The 18,300-nt window shown below is 47.4% G+C and overlaps 2 long non-coding RNA genes across 3 annotated transcripts, besides 1 other annotated feature; both read right to left on the bottom strand.

The window, feature by feature from the left end:
* Positions 1-829: 829 nt before the first annotated feature.
* LOC105369991 (uncharacterized) lies at positions 830-3,195 on the bottom strand. The gene is made up of 3 exons (XR_945349.2): positions 2,867-3,195; positions 1,478-1,619; positions 830-989 (listed from the first exon to the last, which is right to left on the bottom strand). It is a non-coding gene; the product is annotated as an uncharacterized LOC105369991 (long non-coding RNA).
* A 9,119-nt stretch (positions 3,196-12,314) lies between these two features.
* Positions 12,315-17,787, bottom strand: LOC105369990 (uncharacterized). 2 transcript variants are annotated; one of them, XR_945348.1, is made up of 4 exons: positions 17,407-17,787; positions 13,530-13,645; positions 12,736-12,826; positions 12,315-12,355 (listed from the first exon to the last, which is right to left on the bottom strand). It is a non-coding gene; the product is annotated as an uncharacterized LOC105369990 (long non-coding RNA). The 2 variants fall into 2 exon arrangements; XR_945347.1 differs by lacking the exon at positions 17,407-17,787 and having other exon boundaries at positions 13,530-14,079.
* Positions 14,818-15,336: an enhancer, noted in NCBI's record as "H3K4me1 hESC enhancer chr12:114079299-114079817 (GRCh37/hg19 assembly coordinates)". NCBI's record gives its function as "activates a minimal SCP1, AML or CMV promoter by ChIP-STARR-seq in naive H9 embryonic stem cells {active_cell/tissue: H9 hESC(naive)}" and the evidence as "EXISTENCE:reporter gene assay evidence [ECO:0000049][PMID:30033119]".
* Positions 17,788-18,300: the final 513 nt, after the last annotated feature.

Here is an 18,300-nt window from a genome sequence, read left to right as displayed (position 1 = left end):
AAGTGCAGATGGTCTCTTGTGAGGTCCGGGCTCAGAACTAGCATGTCATCATTTCTGCCTCATTCTATTGGTCAAAACAAGTCACAAGGCCAGCTCAGCCTCCAGGGGAAGAGAAACCAACTCCAACCCTTGAGGGGAGGAATTACAAAGTCACATTGCAAAGTAGGGGGATACAGGGAATGGGGCCATTGATGCAGTCACTCTACCACAGCTGTTATGAGGATTAAACCATGTAAAATACTTAACAGAGTACCTGCAACCCACATAGTGAGTGCCCAATAAAATGTTTGCCATTAACACAAAATGCAAATCAAAATCTCCACCTGAAAGAGCTCACAGCCTAGTAGGAAAGAGGCAATTATAATTAATTAATTAATTAATTAGAACAACATCAAGCGAGATCCATGGTGATAATATCACACTTAAGCAATTATTTAATCTTTTTTTAACTTAATAGTATATCATAAGCACATCCCTGCCATTAACTCTCCAAAAACCTCACTTCAGTGACTAGATCTGATGGATGTGCCGTGATTTACTTAACCAGCCTTCTACTGTTGGACATTAGGCTGTTTTCTATTTTTTGCTCATGTCAATAATACTACCATGACCAACTGCGCTGTGATTAGATTGCAGGGGTTAGAGGCAACTCAAGTTTTGGTATCACCTTCATAAAGATGCTGCCCTCAACCACGTGTAGCCAGAATGCCCCCTATGGGGGAGTATCCAGAAGTACTCATATTCTTCCTTTTAATCAAACTTCTTAGACTCTCATTTTCCAGGAAGCAGGGTGGGATAGGTCAGAGACGTAAGGCAGTACCTGGTATTGGCATCTGGCCTCCAAAGGGAATCCTGATTCCCATTATGGGCCTTAGGAGCACCCATTTGTGGTAGCTTGTTTCTGAGAGATGGTCACTGTTTCAAGGGTCTCTGAGATCATCCACACATTCAGTGACTTGCTAGGACTCATGGAGGTTTTATATTCACATCTGTAATTTATTACAGTGGCAGGATCAGCAAGAGAGAAAGACACATCAGGTAACATCTGAGTGAGGGCTCCACACTCAGGCTTCAGATGCTCTTTCCCTCCCTCCCCAGGAATGGACGTTGAAAGAGCTCCTTTACCTAGTAGCAAGATGAGGCAACACACGTGCAATGTTTCTGCCCAGAGAAGTCCATCTGAGACTAAAAGCTCATGTTTTTACTGGGGGCTCATCACATAGACAGCCACAAGACTCAAAATTCCAGATTCTCAGAAAGAAAGCTGGTGTTGGTGCCTGCAGCTTGGCAAAACAACCTTATAGCATAGGGAACATTTCAACAGCCAAGTTCCCAGATACCAGCCACGGACCGGCCCTATAATCAGACCTGCTACATTAACTCTTCTTACACAGTCCCCCGTGAGCCAGGTGTCCTGGTAGCCACGCATTTGTCTAGTTCCCTCCTACATAGAATCTGAGTTGGCCCCATGACTCACTTTAACCAACAAAATGTGCTAGAAGTGATGCTGTGTGACTTCCAAGGTTGGCCTTCAGAGATCTCCAGCTTCCTTCTTTGCCATTTGCAATGTTCCCTCTTGGAGCTGTTTTGTAAGAAGTCTGGCCACATTGCTAGAAAGACTATATGGACAGGTTATGTGGGGAGAAAGAGAACCTGAGATGTCATAGAGGAAGACCAAGAAATTTAGCCAAGGGCAAGAACTGAGTCCCCAGACATGTGACCCCAGTCAAAGAGTTGCAGCCAACCCTGCCACGAGAACCATCCTTGCTGAGGTGCCGTGTGAGTGGTGATAACATCTTAGATGTCCCAACTCTACCAGGCATCCCGTGGAGTAGACAGAGACAAGCTCCTCTCAAAGGGGACCTGAACTCCCAGTTTCGGCCATGCTTAAACTAGCTGCATCCTTCAAGCTTTTTATCTTCTGGAGCCTATGGTATTCTGTAGGAACTCAGTCATATAACACCCCAAGTTGGATTAAGCTGAAAGTCACAGCACATTGGAGTGGCCACAGCAATGTGGACTCTGTCCAATACCACAGGTACCACAGTGACAACACTGTCTTCCTTGGTCATTGTTGACTGAATCACAACATCATTGTGACACCCATGACTTTCCTCTTTTCCATATCTGTAAAATGGGAATAAGACCTGTCCAAGGCCAGGGGCAGTGACTCACACTTTTAATCCCAGCACTTTTCGAGTCCAAGGCAGGCAGATCACTTGAGGTCAGGAGTTCAAGACCAGCCAGGCCAACATGGTGAAACCTCATCTCTACTAAAAATACAAAAATTAGCTGGGCATAGTGGTGCATGCCTGTAAACCCAGCTACTCAGGAGGCTGAGGCAGGAGAATCACTTGAACCTGGGAGGTGGAGGTTGCAGTGAGCTGAGATTGCACATTGCACTCCAGCCAGGGTGACAGAGCAAGACTCCATCTCAAAAAAAAAAAAAAAAAAAAAAAAAAATCTGTCCCATGGGGCTGTGGTGAGGATTTAACAAGGTAATATTTATAAGGGACTATGGTAGCCAGACTCTAAGACAAGCTTGTCCAACCCATGGCTCATAGGCCACATGTGGCCCAGGATGGCTTTGAAGGCAGCCCAACACAAATTTGTAAAGTTTCTTAAAACATTATGAGATTTTTTTGCAATTTTTTTTTTTTTAGCTCATTGGCTATCGCTAGTATTCATGTATTTTATGTGTGGTCCAAGATAATTCTTCTTCTTCCAGTGTGGCCCAGGGAAGCCAAAAGATTGGACAGCCCTGCTCTAAGACATCCTCCAGTGCTCCTACCTCCTACTATCCACACCCTTGTGTAATGTTCCCCCAACAACTCCCCCTCGAGTGGGAGCAAGACCTGGGACTCACTTCAAACCAATAGAATACAACAAAAGTGATGGGATATCATTTCCATGATTGTAACTTCTGTCCTCCTAGCTGAGTGTCTCTCTCATGGGCTTTGATGATGTATGATGTCCTATGGAGAGGCCCACATGGCAAGGAACAGAGGGCAGCACCCCTGAGGAACCTTAGTCCAACAGCCCACGAGGAATCGGATCCTGCCAACAACCATGTGAGCTTGGAAGATCTTTCCCCAGTTGAGCCTCCAGATGAGATCTCAGCACCCACTGGCACCTTGATTGCAGACTTGTGGGAGACCCTGGCCCAGCTAAGCCATGCTCAGACCCCTGACCTGCAGAGCTATGAGATAATACATATGTGTCGATATAAGCCAGTAAGTTTGCAGTAATTTTTTACACAGCAATAAATAACCAATATGAGTACTAAGTACAGAGTCTGGCAGATAGGGTGTGCTCACAAGGGTGACTGATGGTATTTCCACTGTAGATACCTCCAGCTAACTGCCCTGACATAGGAGTAGAAACTCAACTACTTGCAGAATCAGACTTCCCTTAGGGTATAGGGCACATCTGAAAGTGTATCCAGCATTCGGCAAACACAGAGCAGCAACTATTTGCTAGGACTAGGGATACCGCAGTGGAAAAGTCCACCCTGGCTCCTGCCTTTATGTGCTTATGTTCTAGTGGAAAGACAGGCATAAAATAAAAACTATATAAACAATTACATTATCACAAATGTCTGTAGGATATAGAGGTATGCGTGTGTATTGATAAAGTTAGTAACAATAGCTTCTTAGTATTGAATACTTGAGAAGGACCAGACACTACAGCATAAAATTTACAGACATCATCTCACTTATCTCCAGAGAACTCACTGACACCTGTATCCTCGCCATGTGAATAGGGAAACTCAGGCCTGGAAACCTTAAATAACAAGGTTTATACAGCCAGGATTTCAGCCCAAGAGGTCTGTCTCCAAAATCCACCCGCTCTCCACCACACTTTCTCCTTCTGCCTCTCTTCATTTACATTTATTAATTGCCTTATTCAGATCCTCTCTGTTTCCTTTACCATCTAGTTGACTCATCAAAGACTGAGAGTGCTGTGTGAAGAGCCTCCTATTCCAATTGCTTGGGTGACATCCTAGCCTATGAATCTGCCTCTCTTTTGAATAGCATTTGGGAAAGCTAGCTGCCTCAGCCTGTAAACAAAGGGTACAGTTGGTCCCCATAAAGATGGTAGGCAGGTACCCTGAGGACCTTGGGAGTCTTTAGATCAGTGGTTCTCAACTGGGAATGTTTTTGCCTCCCCAGGGAGCATTTGATAATGTCTGGTGACAGTTTTGGCTATCACAACTCAGGAGATGACACTCCTGGCATCTAGTGGGCAGAGTTCAGAGATGCTGCTAAACATCCTAAAACGCACAGGACAGCATGTCTATGACAAGAATCACTTGACCCAAAATACCAATGGTTCCAAGTTGAGCAATCCTGCTTTAGATGAAAAACAAGCCACCTATGGGGTTGAGCCTCAGGGGAAGTGGAACGAGGTGGGAAGAGAGCTTGGGGATGAAAAGAGACCACTCTTTTGGGTCATCAACGATAGCCATATCCACTTTAGTGAGAATCAGTAAGGGAGCCCTTTCTCCTAAGCTTATGAATCTAGGTCTTGGGTTATTATTTTCTTTTTAATAGGGACTTCATGAATGGGGAGTGTAATTAATGTCAAGTAATTGTCAACACACATTTTCAGTGTTTCATTGACCCTGAAGTCACCAAAGCCTCCATCCAGTTGACCGTTAACAATAATGCCACTTCCACTGGGGGAAGGTCCACCTCCACTCCACTGACAACAGCAGTGCGCTGGGCACACTTTTGATGTTGAAGCTAGATTTCAGGGAGCGCATTTCAGCTTCTTCAGAAGAGTAACTGTCTAAGGAGTGCAGCACTTTAATTGCTGGGTAGATAGGTTCATTGGTAATAACATAAAAATTGGGCATTTGCTGAATGCTTCCTGTATGCCAGGCACTGCCCCAAGCACTTTGTGTCTCTTAAATCCCCATAACCACCTCGTGAGACAAGAGTTGCCATTATGCCCATTTTACAGGCATGCAAATAGAGGCACAAAGCATTCTGCAACCTGCCTGAGGTCACCCAGCCAGGAAATGGTAGAACCTGGACTTGAACCTAGGCCGGCTGCCTCCAGAGTCTGCACCCCAAGGCGCTGCCTCTTATTGCCTCTGCAATTGTTAATTACCAGTGAATTTTACCTCTGCATTTAAAAATGCAAGACCTTAGAATTTGATGTGCAGGAAATGGATTTTTTTTTCATTGGAGGATATTTAGTTTTCAGATGTGCTATTCATTCAAACTCCTCTTTGCTCTCTCCTTCCCTCCAAATTGGCAAGGAGTGATTGTTTATCTACAGAGTATTTGCATTGGTATTCACCTGACGGTTGCTTTGATGAAATGAACTCTGAAGGGTTCCTGTTATTACTTTCAGATATTCCCTCTCTTGATTCCATTTTTGCTCGTTATAATTTGGTTTCAAGATCATGAGTATATCCAGCTTTTTCTTTACATGCCTTGGACCGGCCATTGGCTTGCAGAAATTTTATTCTTAATATTACTCATGCTACAAATGGATCTGAGAACCAGCTCTTGCAGACCCAAAGCCCTGAGCAGGTTGCAGAATATTCAGAATTCACGGCCCATGGGCCTAAAATCCCCAGAAATCTCAAATCCACACATGGCTTAGTCCTAAGGATTGACGAGTTTTGATCCTCTGTCCCACTCAGCAGAGAGACTTTGATTGGCAGAGCCAGAGGTAGGTGAGTTGAAGGAAGTTCTTAAATCAGACTCTTTGTGCCAGAGCATGTGAATACATAATCTCCCACATATGCCAGGATACACAATACATCATCATCCATAATCGTAATATGGCGTCATATATCACCCGCTTATAATAAATAGCATATCATCTGCTCATAATATTTTATCATATTATATCATGACATCTGCTCACAACATCATATATTATGTGATCGACATGCAGCATTTCATCCTAGAAGGGGCATCTTCAGATATATTTGTTTAAAAATATACATATTTGTATGTGCTGCTGACTTTTGTTAGAAGGCGAGGAGTTTTTCACAGGTTCTGGAGGCTGACATGAAGGAAGGCAGAAAAATCCCAGCACCACATAGCCTGTAGCACCTCATCTATGACACGTAGTTTAGGCCAGACTCATAGAAAAAGTATTTGGCTTCTTGCACTAAACTGGTCAAAAATGCAGCATCTCTGACCCCACCCCAGACCTGCTGAATCAGACTTTGCATTTTGATAAGATTTGCAGGTGATCTGTGAGCATGTTACAGTTTAAGACGTGCTGTCCGACAAGACACTCAAATTTAGCTGCTTTTAAGTAGAAGGCAGGGGTCCTCCGGTCTGTGTACATGTCCTGCGATGACAAATATGTGTGGGATGATGTTTGCCTCCACTCACACGTGGCAGGACCCCAGGGGCAGACCAAGGGCCCCCTCACCTGCAGAGCCCCACACACACACATCCAAGAGAGACTCTCAGACCCTCCAGAATTCATTCCTAGCATTCCTATTCTGTTGACTATGGCTTGGCCCATGGCTTATAGCCTGTGAGAATTTCTACCAGGCCAATTTTTAAAACTCAGATTTGTCTTTATTCTACCATATCTTTTTAAATGTCACAGGGAATCACCAGGAGGTGGAATTACCTAAGTAAAAATATTTCTCTACTTGTATTTAGCATCTGATTTCTTGTTTCTTCATCCTATCTTAGAACTATATGGGCAAACCCACAGATATTTTCTTGCCAGTACTGCTAGAAATTAGAAACATGTATTTACAGAGAAATGCTTTAAAAGTAAAATTTTTTAAAACTCCATTCTAATATAGCTTAGCCTCAACAGTGCTGAAGTGTGGGCTAGAGAATTATTTGTTTTCAGGCTGTGATGGGCACTACACGATGTTTAGCAGGAACCCTGACCTCTACCCACCAGATGCCAGTAGCCTCTCCCCTCCTCAATGAAAAATGGCTCCAGACATTGCCAAAAGTCCCCTGGGGGTCAAAATCACCCACTAGTTGAGAACCTCTGTTCTATCCTAAAAATCAAGGACTGATAACACTCTCACACAAATCCCCTCTCCTGATCCCTCTTTCGGAGATGTTTTGAACCATCAGCAGCTGGGGAGGACAGGGCAGCTGTCAGTTAACACCTTCCCCTGGCCAGGCCTGTGTGTGCCCCAGTGTGAACTTGTGGGCGAGCGTGTGTGTGTGTGTGCAAGGAGTACGTATGCGTTATTCCAGTAATTCTTTTATCTTCTGCTCACACCCCGGGCATTATGAACATTCATCAAAATAATTGACGCGGATGAAATTAGCACTTCCTGCTATGTCGGGCAGATAAACTTTGCTGAATATTGATTTCACACAAAGAAAATGACATGTGCTTAGGCCTAACCCTTTATCTGGCCGGACCAGGGAAATGCAGCAGGAGGGGGACGGGGCTGGCCGTCGCCAGTGGTGAAGCGGCCATAAGAATTACTTTTATCTCTTCTTCCACAAGAAGACAAGGGAAGATAAGGCGCTGGAGGGAGAGAAAGCACAGCCCCGGGCACTGGGGAGATGCGCAGAAGGCGTGGGACAGGGCAGTTCTCCGGGGACCGAGGGAACCAGAGCTGATAAATTCAGAAGAGGAACAGGGAGCGAACTCAAAAAGAACAGGATGGTGCAGAGGGACAAGGGGATGCGGGGGTCGGCCAGTCTTGGGTTCAAATCCCAGCCCTGTCCCTAAAAATGAGGTGAACAACCACCCCAGTTTGCCAGGGACTGAAGGATTTCCTAGGATGTGGGAATTTCAGTGCTAAACCCAGACAGCCCCAGGCAAGTCAGGAGGGCTGGTCACCCTACATTTTAGCTGCATGACATTGGGCAATTGGTCCTCAGTTTCCTCATCTGTAGACCTGAGAAAGATGAGACCTACCTCTCTGGCCTCCATGGAGGGAGGTGAAAGCCCCATGGAGTTGTGCAACGTGAAGCCCTCCACCATAACAGAGACAATTCCAGATCAAGGCCACCTTCTCCTAGAAGCTCTCCCTGACCACCTGAGCCCACAGAGACCTCTGCGTGCCGTGAAGACTCATCTGTCTGGCTCTTTCTTCTTGAACTGAGTGACACATAAACTTTTTTTTTTTTCTTTGAGACAGTCTTTCTCTGTCACCCAGGCTGGAGTGCAGTGGCACAATCTCAGCTCACTGCAACCTCCACCTCCTGGATTCAAGCGACTCTCTTGCCTCAGCCTCCCGAGTAGCTGGGACTACAGGTGCGCACCACCATGCCCAGCTAATTTTTGTATTTTTAGTAGAGATGGGATTTCACCATGTTGGTCAGGCTGGTCTCAAACTCCTAGCCTCGAGTGATCCACCTGCCTTGGCCTTCCAAAGAGCTGGGATTACAGGCATGAGCCACTGCACCCGGCACATATAAACTCTTAACCACATACTAGCTTTCTTCTTTCACTCCTGCTTTGAAATCAGGAATTTCCTATTCCTGCTACAATCTAAGGCTGGACAAATCTCTGAGATGTCAGGCTAAGGAGGAAATGATTTATTTCTCCAAGATTTCCAAGTTCACTTTACTAAAGGCCTATTATGTGCCCGGCACTGCACCAGCAGCCAGCAGGGTGACTGCTGACATAAAATAGCCACCTCTTTCTCTGCCTCCTCTTCTTCCTCTTCTCTGGAGAATCTCTGAGCAGCTGTGGGGCCCTGGATCCCCTTAGCTAAATGGCTGATCACATCCTCATGCCATACAGGAAGCACGCTGGCTTTCAGATCAGACCCCAGCATGGGGTCACTGCCAATCTTGAGTCATTACCTGGCATTCTCAGGGCATGTGTGAGACCTTGGGCAAAGCCCCTGAGGGTCTTACCTGGGGCGCCAGATTGACATTCTTTTTTTTTTTTTTTTTTTTGAGACAGAGTCTCGCTTTGTTGCCCAGGCTGGAGTACAGTGGTGCGGTCTGGGCTTACTGCAACCCCCACCTCCTGGGTTCAAATGATTCTCCTGCCTCAGCCTCCTGAGTAGCTGAGATTTCAGTCACCCACCACTATGCCTGGCTATTTTTTCTATTTAGTAGAGATGGGGCTTCACCACATTGGTTGACTGGTCTCAAACTCCTGACCTCAAGTGATCCACCTACCTCGGACTCTCAAAGTGTTGGGATTACAGGCGAGAGCCACCGCGCCAGGCCCAGATTCACATTCTTGTCCTGCCTCCTTTATTCATGGGGAGGACAAAGTATGGCAAGTGACCAGCAGGAGGGAAAAAGGGCCCTGGGGAAGCAGGCAGAGTAGTGTAGTGATTAGGGTGGTTCTAGAACCAGCTAGCCTAGGTCGAGTCTCAGCAATGCCTTTTGCTGTGTGACCAGGGAGAAGGAAGGCACAAAAGACTTCTTTGCTTTATTTTCTTCCTCATTGAAAAGTAGAATTATAATAGGGCCTACCTGGTAATATTACTGTGAGGAGTAAATTAGCTAATAAAATTTGTAAGGTGCTTAGAATAGTGTCTGGCATATGGCGAGTGTCTGCCATTTTTATCAAAATCCCAGCCACTGTGTTGCTTGACATCAAACACAATGTGAAGGGCGCCCCCTGGGGTTGTACAATGGAGATCCACCAATATGACAGGGACAATACTGGGACAAAGTCACCTCCCCTCAGGTGCCCTCCCTAACTACCCATTCCACGAGACCTCTGTGTGCCATGAAGACCCACGGCTCCAACTGCTTAGCTCACTCCAGAAGCATTTGTGTGAGGCCAGGACTATGTCTTGATCATCTCCATGCCCACCCCATGACTAGGACAGAGGGGACTAACTGAGCTGGGAAGGCTATGTATGTGGGCAAGCAGCCACCTATTGGGAACATGGGATCTTTCTCCAGTCCCTTCCCTCCTCTACAGACAAGTTTGATCAGGATGCAATAATAACAATAGCAATAATGGGTGGGCATGGTATAATCCCAGCCTGTAATCCCAGCAATTAAGGAGGCAGAAGCATGAGGATCACTAGAGGCCAGGAGTTAGAGACCAGCCTGGGCAACATAGTGAGACCCCATCTCTACAAAATAGTGTTTTAAAAATTAGCCAGGCATGGTGGGGCACACCTATGGTCCTGGCTACTCAGGAGACTGAAGCAAGAAGATCCTTTGGGCCCAGGAGTTTGAAGCTGCAATGAGCTATGATTGCACCACTGCTCTCTAGATTGGGTGACAGGGTGAGACCCTGTCTCCAATCAGTCAATCAATCAATCAATGATAGTAATAGTAATGGCGGTTACTGATTGAGCTCTTCCCGTTGCCATAACATTTTATATTCTCATTTAATCCTAGAAGATACACCATGATATGGGTAGCGTATTCTTATTTTTCAGATGAGGAAACAGTCTCAGAGAGCAGAAGTGACCTGTGCAAGGTGACAAGGCCAGAAAGTGGTAGAGCTGAGACTTGTGCCAGGTGTGCCTGGCTTCAGGGCCCTAATGACTGCCATTCTGCCTCCACTTAGAGGCCATCAAAGGAAGCAGCTGTAACGACATGGAGAGTCCAAGAGGCCAGGATTCAAGTCCTCCTCCTGCCACATTCCAGTTAACCTGGCAAGATTCCCTTCATCTCTCTGGGCATCCATTTCCTTCCCTGCAAAATGGGCATCATCTCCCTGCCTCCCCAACTGTTGGGGAGGATTTATGATTAGAGAAGTACCCGGCACAGTGATCACAAGGAGATGCTCCAGGAGCCGTCCCCACAGAGGCGAACATGTGCAATGCTCACCTCCCGCATCCCCTCTGCAAAGCAGGAGAATTGGATTTGATCATTTCGAATGCCCCTCTGGCCTGGCTAAGTCTTGGCCTTGATAGTTTGGGGGTCAAATGCTTCTACTTCAGCCCCTGTCAGCCTCTGCCAGGCTCAGAGAGACGTCGGGTCTGAAATGCACCAGTTCAGCCACTCCTGCCTGCTTGCTGGCGTTTCCACGGGCACTGGGTGGCGGCTCCATCCCCTTGGCCATTCCCCACTCAGTGCCCAAGCCTCGCATCCCAATGGGGGGCCATGGGGCTGCGGCTAATTGCAAATCATTTCTCAGGGCTCCCCGCTGTTCGGCTAAATTCACTGGAACTAATGTGTCCCGAAACAAATTTCACAGAAGAGCCAGGGCAATTACATGATGCTTAGTTCTCCTCCCCACGTCCCCCACCCGGGGCTGCTCCGGGCCAGGGGCAGAGAGGGCTGGGTAGAGTGGGGCCGGGAGCTTGGAGGCAGGAGTCTTCTCTGGGACCAGAATGTTCTTCCCTTCCACCTCTGAACCCCCACCTATGGCCCCCTCTTCACTGTACCTTCTGCTCCTAAATCTTATCCCTGCTCTCACAGCACCCAGCATCACCCTTCCTCCCTTCTTGAATTCAGGAGGCATCTTGATGTCTCCGGCAAGCACTGGCTCCAAAACCAGGCAGACTTGAGTTCAAATCCCAGCCTCAGCATTTATTTGCTGTGTGTGCTTAGAAAAGTCACAACCTCTCTGGGCCTGTTTCCGAATCCCTGAAATTAGGATACCATCACTTGGCTGGCATCAGCCAATGTGAAGATTAAGTCAAGCAGCACAAGTGAAATATTTTATGTAGGTCCAGCACATGGTAAGTTCTTGGTAACTATTGGTCCCCTCTGGCACCTACTTCAGTATGATCATTTCAAGGGGATCAGGTGAACCATCTTTTAGGAGCATCAGAATCAATTCCAAACGAGAGGAACCTGAAAGAAAAGACCCAGCCCCCACTCCCAGAACCAGGTACCAGCAAGCCCAATCCCCTGCCTGCTGTTCCACCATTCCATCTCACTCCAGCCTCGTCCTTCCAGATCTCTCCCATCAGAATAATTCTCCCCTTCCTCCAGGGCTCCTCGGCATGTCCCCTGTGTCTCTCTGAGCGCCTTCATTTTGTTTTGCATTGCTGCTGTCTTGGTTGACTAAAGCTGGGTGCAGCGGCTCACGCCTGTAATCCCAGCAACTCAGGAGGCTGAAGCAGGAGGATCATTTGAGGCCAGGAGTTCAAGACAAGCTTGGGCAACATTGTGAGATCTTGTCTCTACAAAAAAATTAAAATAAAGGCTGGGAGTGATGGCTCACGCCTGTAACTCCAGCACTTTGGGAGGCTGAGGCAGGTGGATCCCTTAAGCCCAGGAGTTTGAGACCAGCCTGGCAACATGGTGAAACCCTGTCTCTACAAAAAAAATACAATAATAATAATAGTAATAATTTTTAAAATAAAAATAAAACTTAGCTAAGTGTGATGGCACATACCTGTAGTTCCATCTACTTGGGAGGCTGAGGTGGGAGGATCACTTGAGTCTAGGAGTTTGAGGCCGCAGTGAGCTATGATTGAGTCACTACACTCCAGCCTGGGTGACAGAGAGAGAACCTGTCTCAAAATAAATAAATGAAAATAAAAATAATTAAAGAACCACGTGGCCAAGACATGAAAACCATGCAGGCCAGTTGCCGGTGACCTTTTCCATCATGGTATCTGTGGTGAGCAGCCCCAGATCCTGATGCTATTTGCACCCAGGGGTAACATGTCCCCTCGGGGCTGGTTCTGAGTCCACTCCTTTGCTTTCGACCCAAGACAGCACCAGCCTGACCGCAGGTGCATCAGGGAGACGGTCCTATATGACTGGATTCACATCATCTTTACTTTCCAAAAGTTAGGAAACCAATCACTCACTCCTTTGCACAAAACTTAAACACACCTAAAATGAGTATATTGAAACATCGAAGTCCAATGATGACTTCAGCACATACCTGCTGAGCCCCTCCTAAGTGCCAGTTCCCATGTAAGGGGCTGAGAAGCCAACAGTGAAGACAGACCCAGTCTCTGTCCTTGGCTAACATTCTTGGTAGATGAAAGACATTAAAGAAGCAAAGACACATGATCATATCAGTGCCAAGTACAATTAAGATAATAAAGATAAAACAAAAATGATCCAGTGAGTACTAGATATTTATTAGATGGGGGATCCTAAGATGGTGACATTTCAACTAGAAACTTAGTAACAAGAAAAGGGGCCTGAGGCAAAGTTCCAGGAAGGACCAGCAAGTGCAAAGGCCCTGGGGTAGGAATGCACTGGCGAGGCTAGAGGTGCAGGAGCAAGGTGGAAAGGGGAACAGATGAGATCAGCTGGGCTGGAAGCGAGGGTAAGGTCCTGAGGGTTAGGGGAAGCCACTGGAGGGTTTTATGTAGGGGAAACTGATTTGGGCTTTTAGAAGATCCCTGCAGCTGTGATATGGAGAAGGGATTGGGGGAGGAGTGGAAGCAGAGAGGCCAGTAGCAAAGCTGTCATCTGGGCTCAGACGGGGATGGGGACGCTGCAGAGATGCAATCCCATCCAGTCGTCCAGTCATTGGGGAAACTGAGAGTCCAAGAGGGGACACTGCCTGCCCCAGGCTGCCTGATCAGTCAGTGATGAGGTGCAAATTTGGAGTTCCTGTCTCAGGCCAGGCTCTCTCATTTCACCACCATTAACTGCTCTGTGGGGGAGCCAGGGCAGAGAGAGCTCCAGCTAAGGCTTCCACGCTTCCAGTATTAGAGGACTTACCACTTAAAGAATCCCTGTAGCGTATCCTTTTGTAATGAGAATAATCACCCCTAATTTATCTGCTTCATAAGTTCAGTATCACCTTTCTTTTGAGCGCTGTGAACATATCTGTATTCCTGCCCAGACATAAAATACTATTTTAAAAACATAACTTGGGGTTGCTTATGAGAGCTGTCATGTCAGTGAGCACTTTTGGGGGCACAGGCTGTGCGATTCGTCTCTGTGCCCCACTGGTACATGAGATGCATGCAATAAATAATAATTTAGAAAAATAACAGGCAGCAATGATTCCACCCTTACTATGTGCCAAGCACGTTCATTAATTTCTTCATCTAGTTTTCATAATACAGCTGGAAGTGGGCTCTGTTACTGTCTCCATTTTATAGATGGGGAAACTGAGGCTCAGAGAGGTGAAGCCACTTACCCAGTGTCACACAGCCTGCAAAAGCCAGGCTCGAACCAGGTAACAACTAAAACCATGTCCTGAAACTCAAGGTCTACTGTTTGAGGGAGGGAAGGAAGAAGGGAAAGAAGGAAGGAGGGAGGAAGGGGAGGAAGGAAGGAAGGAAAGAAGGGAGGGAGGGGGAGGGAGCAAGGGAGGGAGGGAGCAAAGGAAGGAAGAGGAAGGAAGGAAGGAGGGATGGAGGGGAGAAGGAAGGAAGGAGAGAGAGGAGAGAGGTAAGGAAGGAAGGAGAGAGAGGAGAGAGGTAAGGAAGGAAGGAGAGAGGGAGGGAAGGAAGGAAGGAAAGAAGGAAGGAAGGAAGGAAGGGAGAGAGGGAGGCAGGGGGAAGGAAAGAAGGGAGCGAGGGAGCGGGGAAGGAAGAAAAGAATATTTAGAGATAAAATTCAGTTCATCTAGTTAGGCAGAGCTAGTCTGGAGGCCAAGGCAGAAGGATCACTTGAGCCCAGGAGTTAGAGTTCTGCCTGGGCAACATAGAGAGACTCCATCTTTTAAAAAAAAAAAAAAAGAAGAAGAAGAAGGAGAAGGGAAAGGAGGGAAGGAAAGAAGGAAGGAAGGAAGGAAGGAAAGAAAGGAAGGAAGGAAGGAAGGGAGGGAGCGAGGGAGGGAGGGAGAGAGGGAAAGAAAGAAAGAAAGAAAAGGAAAGAAAAAGAAAGAAAGAAAGAAAGAAAGAAAGAAAGAAAGAAAGAAAGAAAGAAAGAAAGAAAGAGAAAGAAAGAAAGAGAGAAAGAGAAAGAAAGAAAGAAAGAAAGAAAGAAAGAAAGAAAGAAAGAAAGAAAGAAAGTAATAAGCTTAAAAACTCAGTTCCTTTGCCAATCAGTGCTTCTTTCAAACTTAAATGATTCTCCCCATCAGAGGTTTGGCCACAGCTCCCTGAGAGCTCGCCTCTGCCACCGCAGGGTTTCTGGTGCTCAAAATCTGTTTTCTGCCCTGAACTGGTTGTCACCATGTCCCCAACCTCTCCTCCAGCCAGTCTCCTTATTCTCTCTTCCCCGCTAGGGAGGAGGGGGTGGGGCTGCTCCCTTATCGGCCCCCATGAATATATACACATAGGAGTAAGTTGTCTCCTGTGACCCCACCTGCCCTTGGCTAAGTGAACGCAGTGTCAGCCCAGATCATTCCAAAGCCATAAAGATGATATAAAAAAAAAAGTGGGGGAGTCGGTGGCAGGGAGCGGTGGAGGTGGAGGAGGAGATTACAAAAAAGAGGACAAGCTGCGTGGCTTGCGCTCCTTATCTAACCCCCAGCAGGCCTGGCTGGGGGCTTTCTCTCTCCAGGGGGAGGACGCTGTGCAGCCACGTTGGCTGTCTGTCCCCCCTCCACATCACCCCACTCCAGCCTAGCAGAAGGCTCCAGCAGGGAAACATCCCAGCTGGGTGCACTGGGGAACCAGAGCCAAGTGAGGGGTGAGGGCAGTCAGAAGGGCATCCACAGCTGAGCAGGGGACGGTGAGTTGAGGTCCCGCCAAGCTGTCCCCAAGATGGGGGACTGGGGGACATAGGGACCTGCCTGCCCAGGAGACCCAAGGCACCAGCCAGAAAGAAAGAATCGCCCAGGATGCTGCAGGTCACATTTGGACAACTTAGTTATTTTTATGAATATTGACTCGGGGAGCTGGGGTGGAGGTGGAGGAAGGGATGGATGGGTGATACGGGGAGGAACAAGTAGATGAAGGGTAGAACAGAGAAAGATAGTGCGAGGAGGAGAGGACACAGTCTAAACTACACTTTCTGGGAGCACCTGCTTCCCCACATTTAATCCTCACAAGGCCCCAGGGAGAAGCGGCAACATTATGCCCATTTTACAGACTGGTAAATCGACTCATTAGGAGGCAGTAGGTAACTTCCCATTATGCTTCAATGATATTGGCATGAGCAGAGGGCAGAGAACAGAGAAGTCACCTAGAGATCCTCATGAGCCAGGGGCTTGGAGTAGACCTGGGTTTGAAATCTTAATAGCACCTATCTTCTCTTGTTGTTATAAGGATTACATGAGATAACAGAACCATTTTGGTTCCTGACCAAGGACCACACACACATCTCTGGACGTTGTTGTGAAGGGGTTACTTTTCCTCTAACCCTCTCTTAGTAAATTGACAGGGGGTGGAGGGACAGCTTCAGTGACCTTCAAATTTAGGGTTTGATTTTTCCTTCAAGGGCCTGGCCTAGGGGGCACTTGGAGCCAGCGTGGTTGGGGAAGTGGAGAAGAGAGGCTTCTCTTAGCTGCTCATCAGATCAAAAGGTGGAAAAACACAAATTCTGTAAGGCCCTAAGGTCCGTTCCCCAGATTCCCAATGCCCCTGTAGGGAAAAAGATCACAAAGCTCTAGAGGAACAGAAACGTGCTCAAGAATCAGTCTACTATTCAAACAGATTAAGCCAAAAACTGTAACTACAATAACAATAGCAATACTAACAAACACACACACGTATATGTCTATATTCATCTATAGAGATATTTACATATATATCACACACCTATACATATATATCCATATTTGTCCCTATAAATATATACACAGACATATTAGAACCAAATCTACTTTGTTTATGCCATCAGTATATACCACCAGCTTTGTGTAAGCTTGGCAAGTTACTTAAACACTCTGTACCTCAGTTTTCCCATCTGAAAAATGAGGATAACATCGGCAACCTCTTAAAGTGGAAATGAAAATGAGTTAAAGATTCCCTAGTACGCTGCCCAGCTCATGGTAAGTACTGCCTGGGCATGGGCATTATTAGTTTCCCCAGCCAGGCCCAGAGTCTGGGGCCTGAGGGCACTTTCCTGTATGAGCGACTCAGGCTAAATGCAGAAGGTAATTTGCCGGCACTGGAAGAGGATTCAAATGCAGCTGTGCCTCGTCTTTGGGGAAGGTGATAGGGGAACCTCTGAAAGGTCCCTTGGGTTTGGACTGGTTTGGAGGTGAGACCCTGGCTGAGGTCACCTGAGCAGGATGTGCCCTCTGGGAGGCTGTGGAGTCCTACCAGGTTCCTCCTCAGACAGGTCTCCCATACCTAGAGGACTGGCCTTGAGTGGGAGTGGGGGTACTTCAATTTCACCAACCAGGTCTGGCCATCCTCCTATAGATGGGTGTAAAGGCCCAGGAGTCAGAGGGCCTCTAATCACAGTGTGGCCCTGGGTGGGTGGCTGTATCTTTTGAACCTCAACTTCCCCATCTGTACAATGGGTCTGATTTCTGCCACTACGGAGGAGCAAGTGAAAGGCGCGCACGTGTGTGTGTGTGTGCGTGTGTGCATGTGTGTGTGCGTGTGTGCGTGCGCAAATGTGCACATGCAAGTGCTCTAACATGCGACAAGATTAGGGACAATCGAAACCCAGTCCCTGAGAGAGTACCAGTCCCAGTCCCTGAGGGGGTCATGACAGGAGATGAGGAGCCCCACTGGGACTAGTGCCCCACCATGCACTTCTTTAGTCCTCAAGGTATCAGCCAAACTATTTATGGGAGCTGGGAGCAGGGTAGTCCAACTGCAGGGACTGTGGGTGCCCACCGAGGCCAGCATTCTTTATCCTGGAGAAAGAGAGACAGACACACATGTTCAGAGACAGAGAATTCAAGAGGCCAAGAGAAACAGAGAGGGAGACACTGTCAGAAGCAGACAGAGAGACAGAGAGGTAAACTGACTGAGAGTCAGGGAGGGAACGAGAGAAACAGGGAGACAAAGATCATCAGACAGGCGGAGAGAGACAGTAAGAAATAGACAGTGCCAGGCACCCTGGCTCACACCTGTAATCCCAGCATTTCGGGAGGCCGAGGTGGGAGGATCGCTTGAGCCCAGGAGTTCAAGACCAGCCTGGGCAAAATAGTGAGACTCGTTCTCTACCAAAAATAAAAAATAAAAAATAGCGCGGTTTGGTGGCCTAGCTAGCTACTCAGGAGGCTGAGGCAGGAGGATCACTTGAACCAGGGAGATCCAAGCTGCAGTGAGCCAGGATCCCATTCCTGCACTCCAGCCGGGGAGACAGAGCAAGCCCTTGCCTTAAAAAAGAAAGAAAAGATAAGAAAGAAGGAGAGGAAGAAATAGATACAGAGATGAAGAGAGAGGGACAGAGACAGAGAGACAAATAATAAGAGGCGGAGAGAGAGAAAGCGAGGGAGAACTAGAGGCAAAGGAAAAATAGACACAGACACAGAGACAGCAAGAGAAAGAACGGAGAGAGACGATCGCAGGAAGAGAACAGAGAAGCCAGAGGCGGAATAGATAAAGGAGGCTAATCAGAGATCCGAAGGCACAGGGGTGGACAGGCAGCCCCCAAGCCCCTCCGCCCTGCACCTAGCTCCCGCCCCCAGCAG

Source organism: Homo sapiens, chromosome 12 (genome assembly GCF_000001405.40).
Source record: "Homo sapiens chromosome 12, GRCh38.p14 Primary Assembly".
NCBI lineage: Eukaryota > Metazoa > Chordata > Mammalia > Primates > Hominidae > Homo > Homo sapiens.
This window is presented reverse-complemented; position numbering and strand designations above follow the sequence as displayed.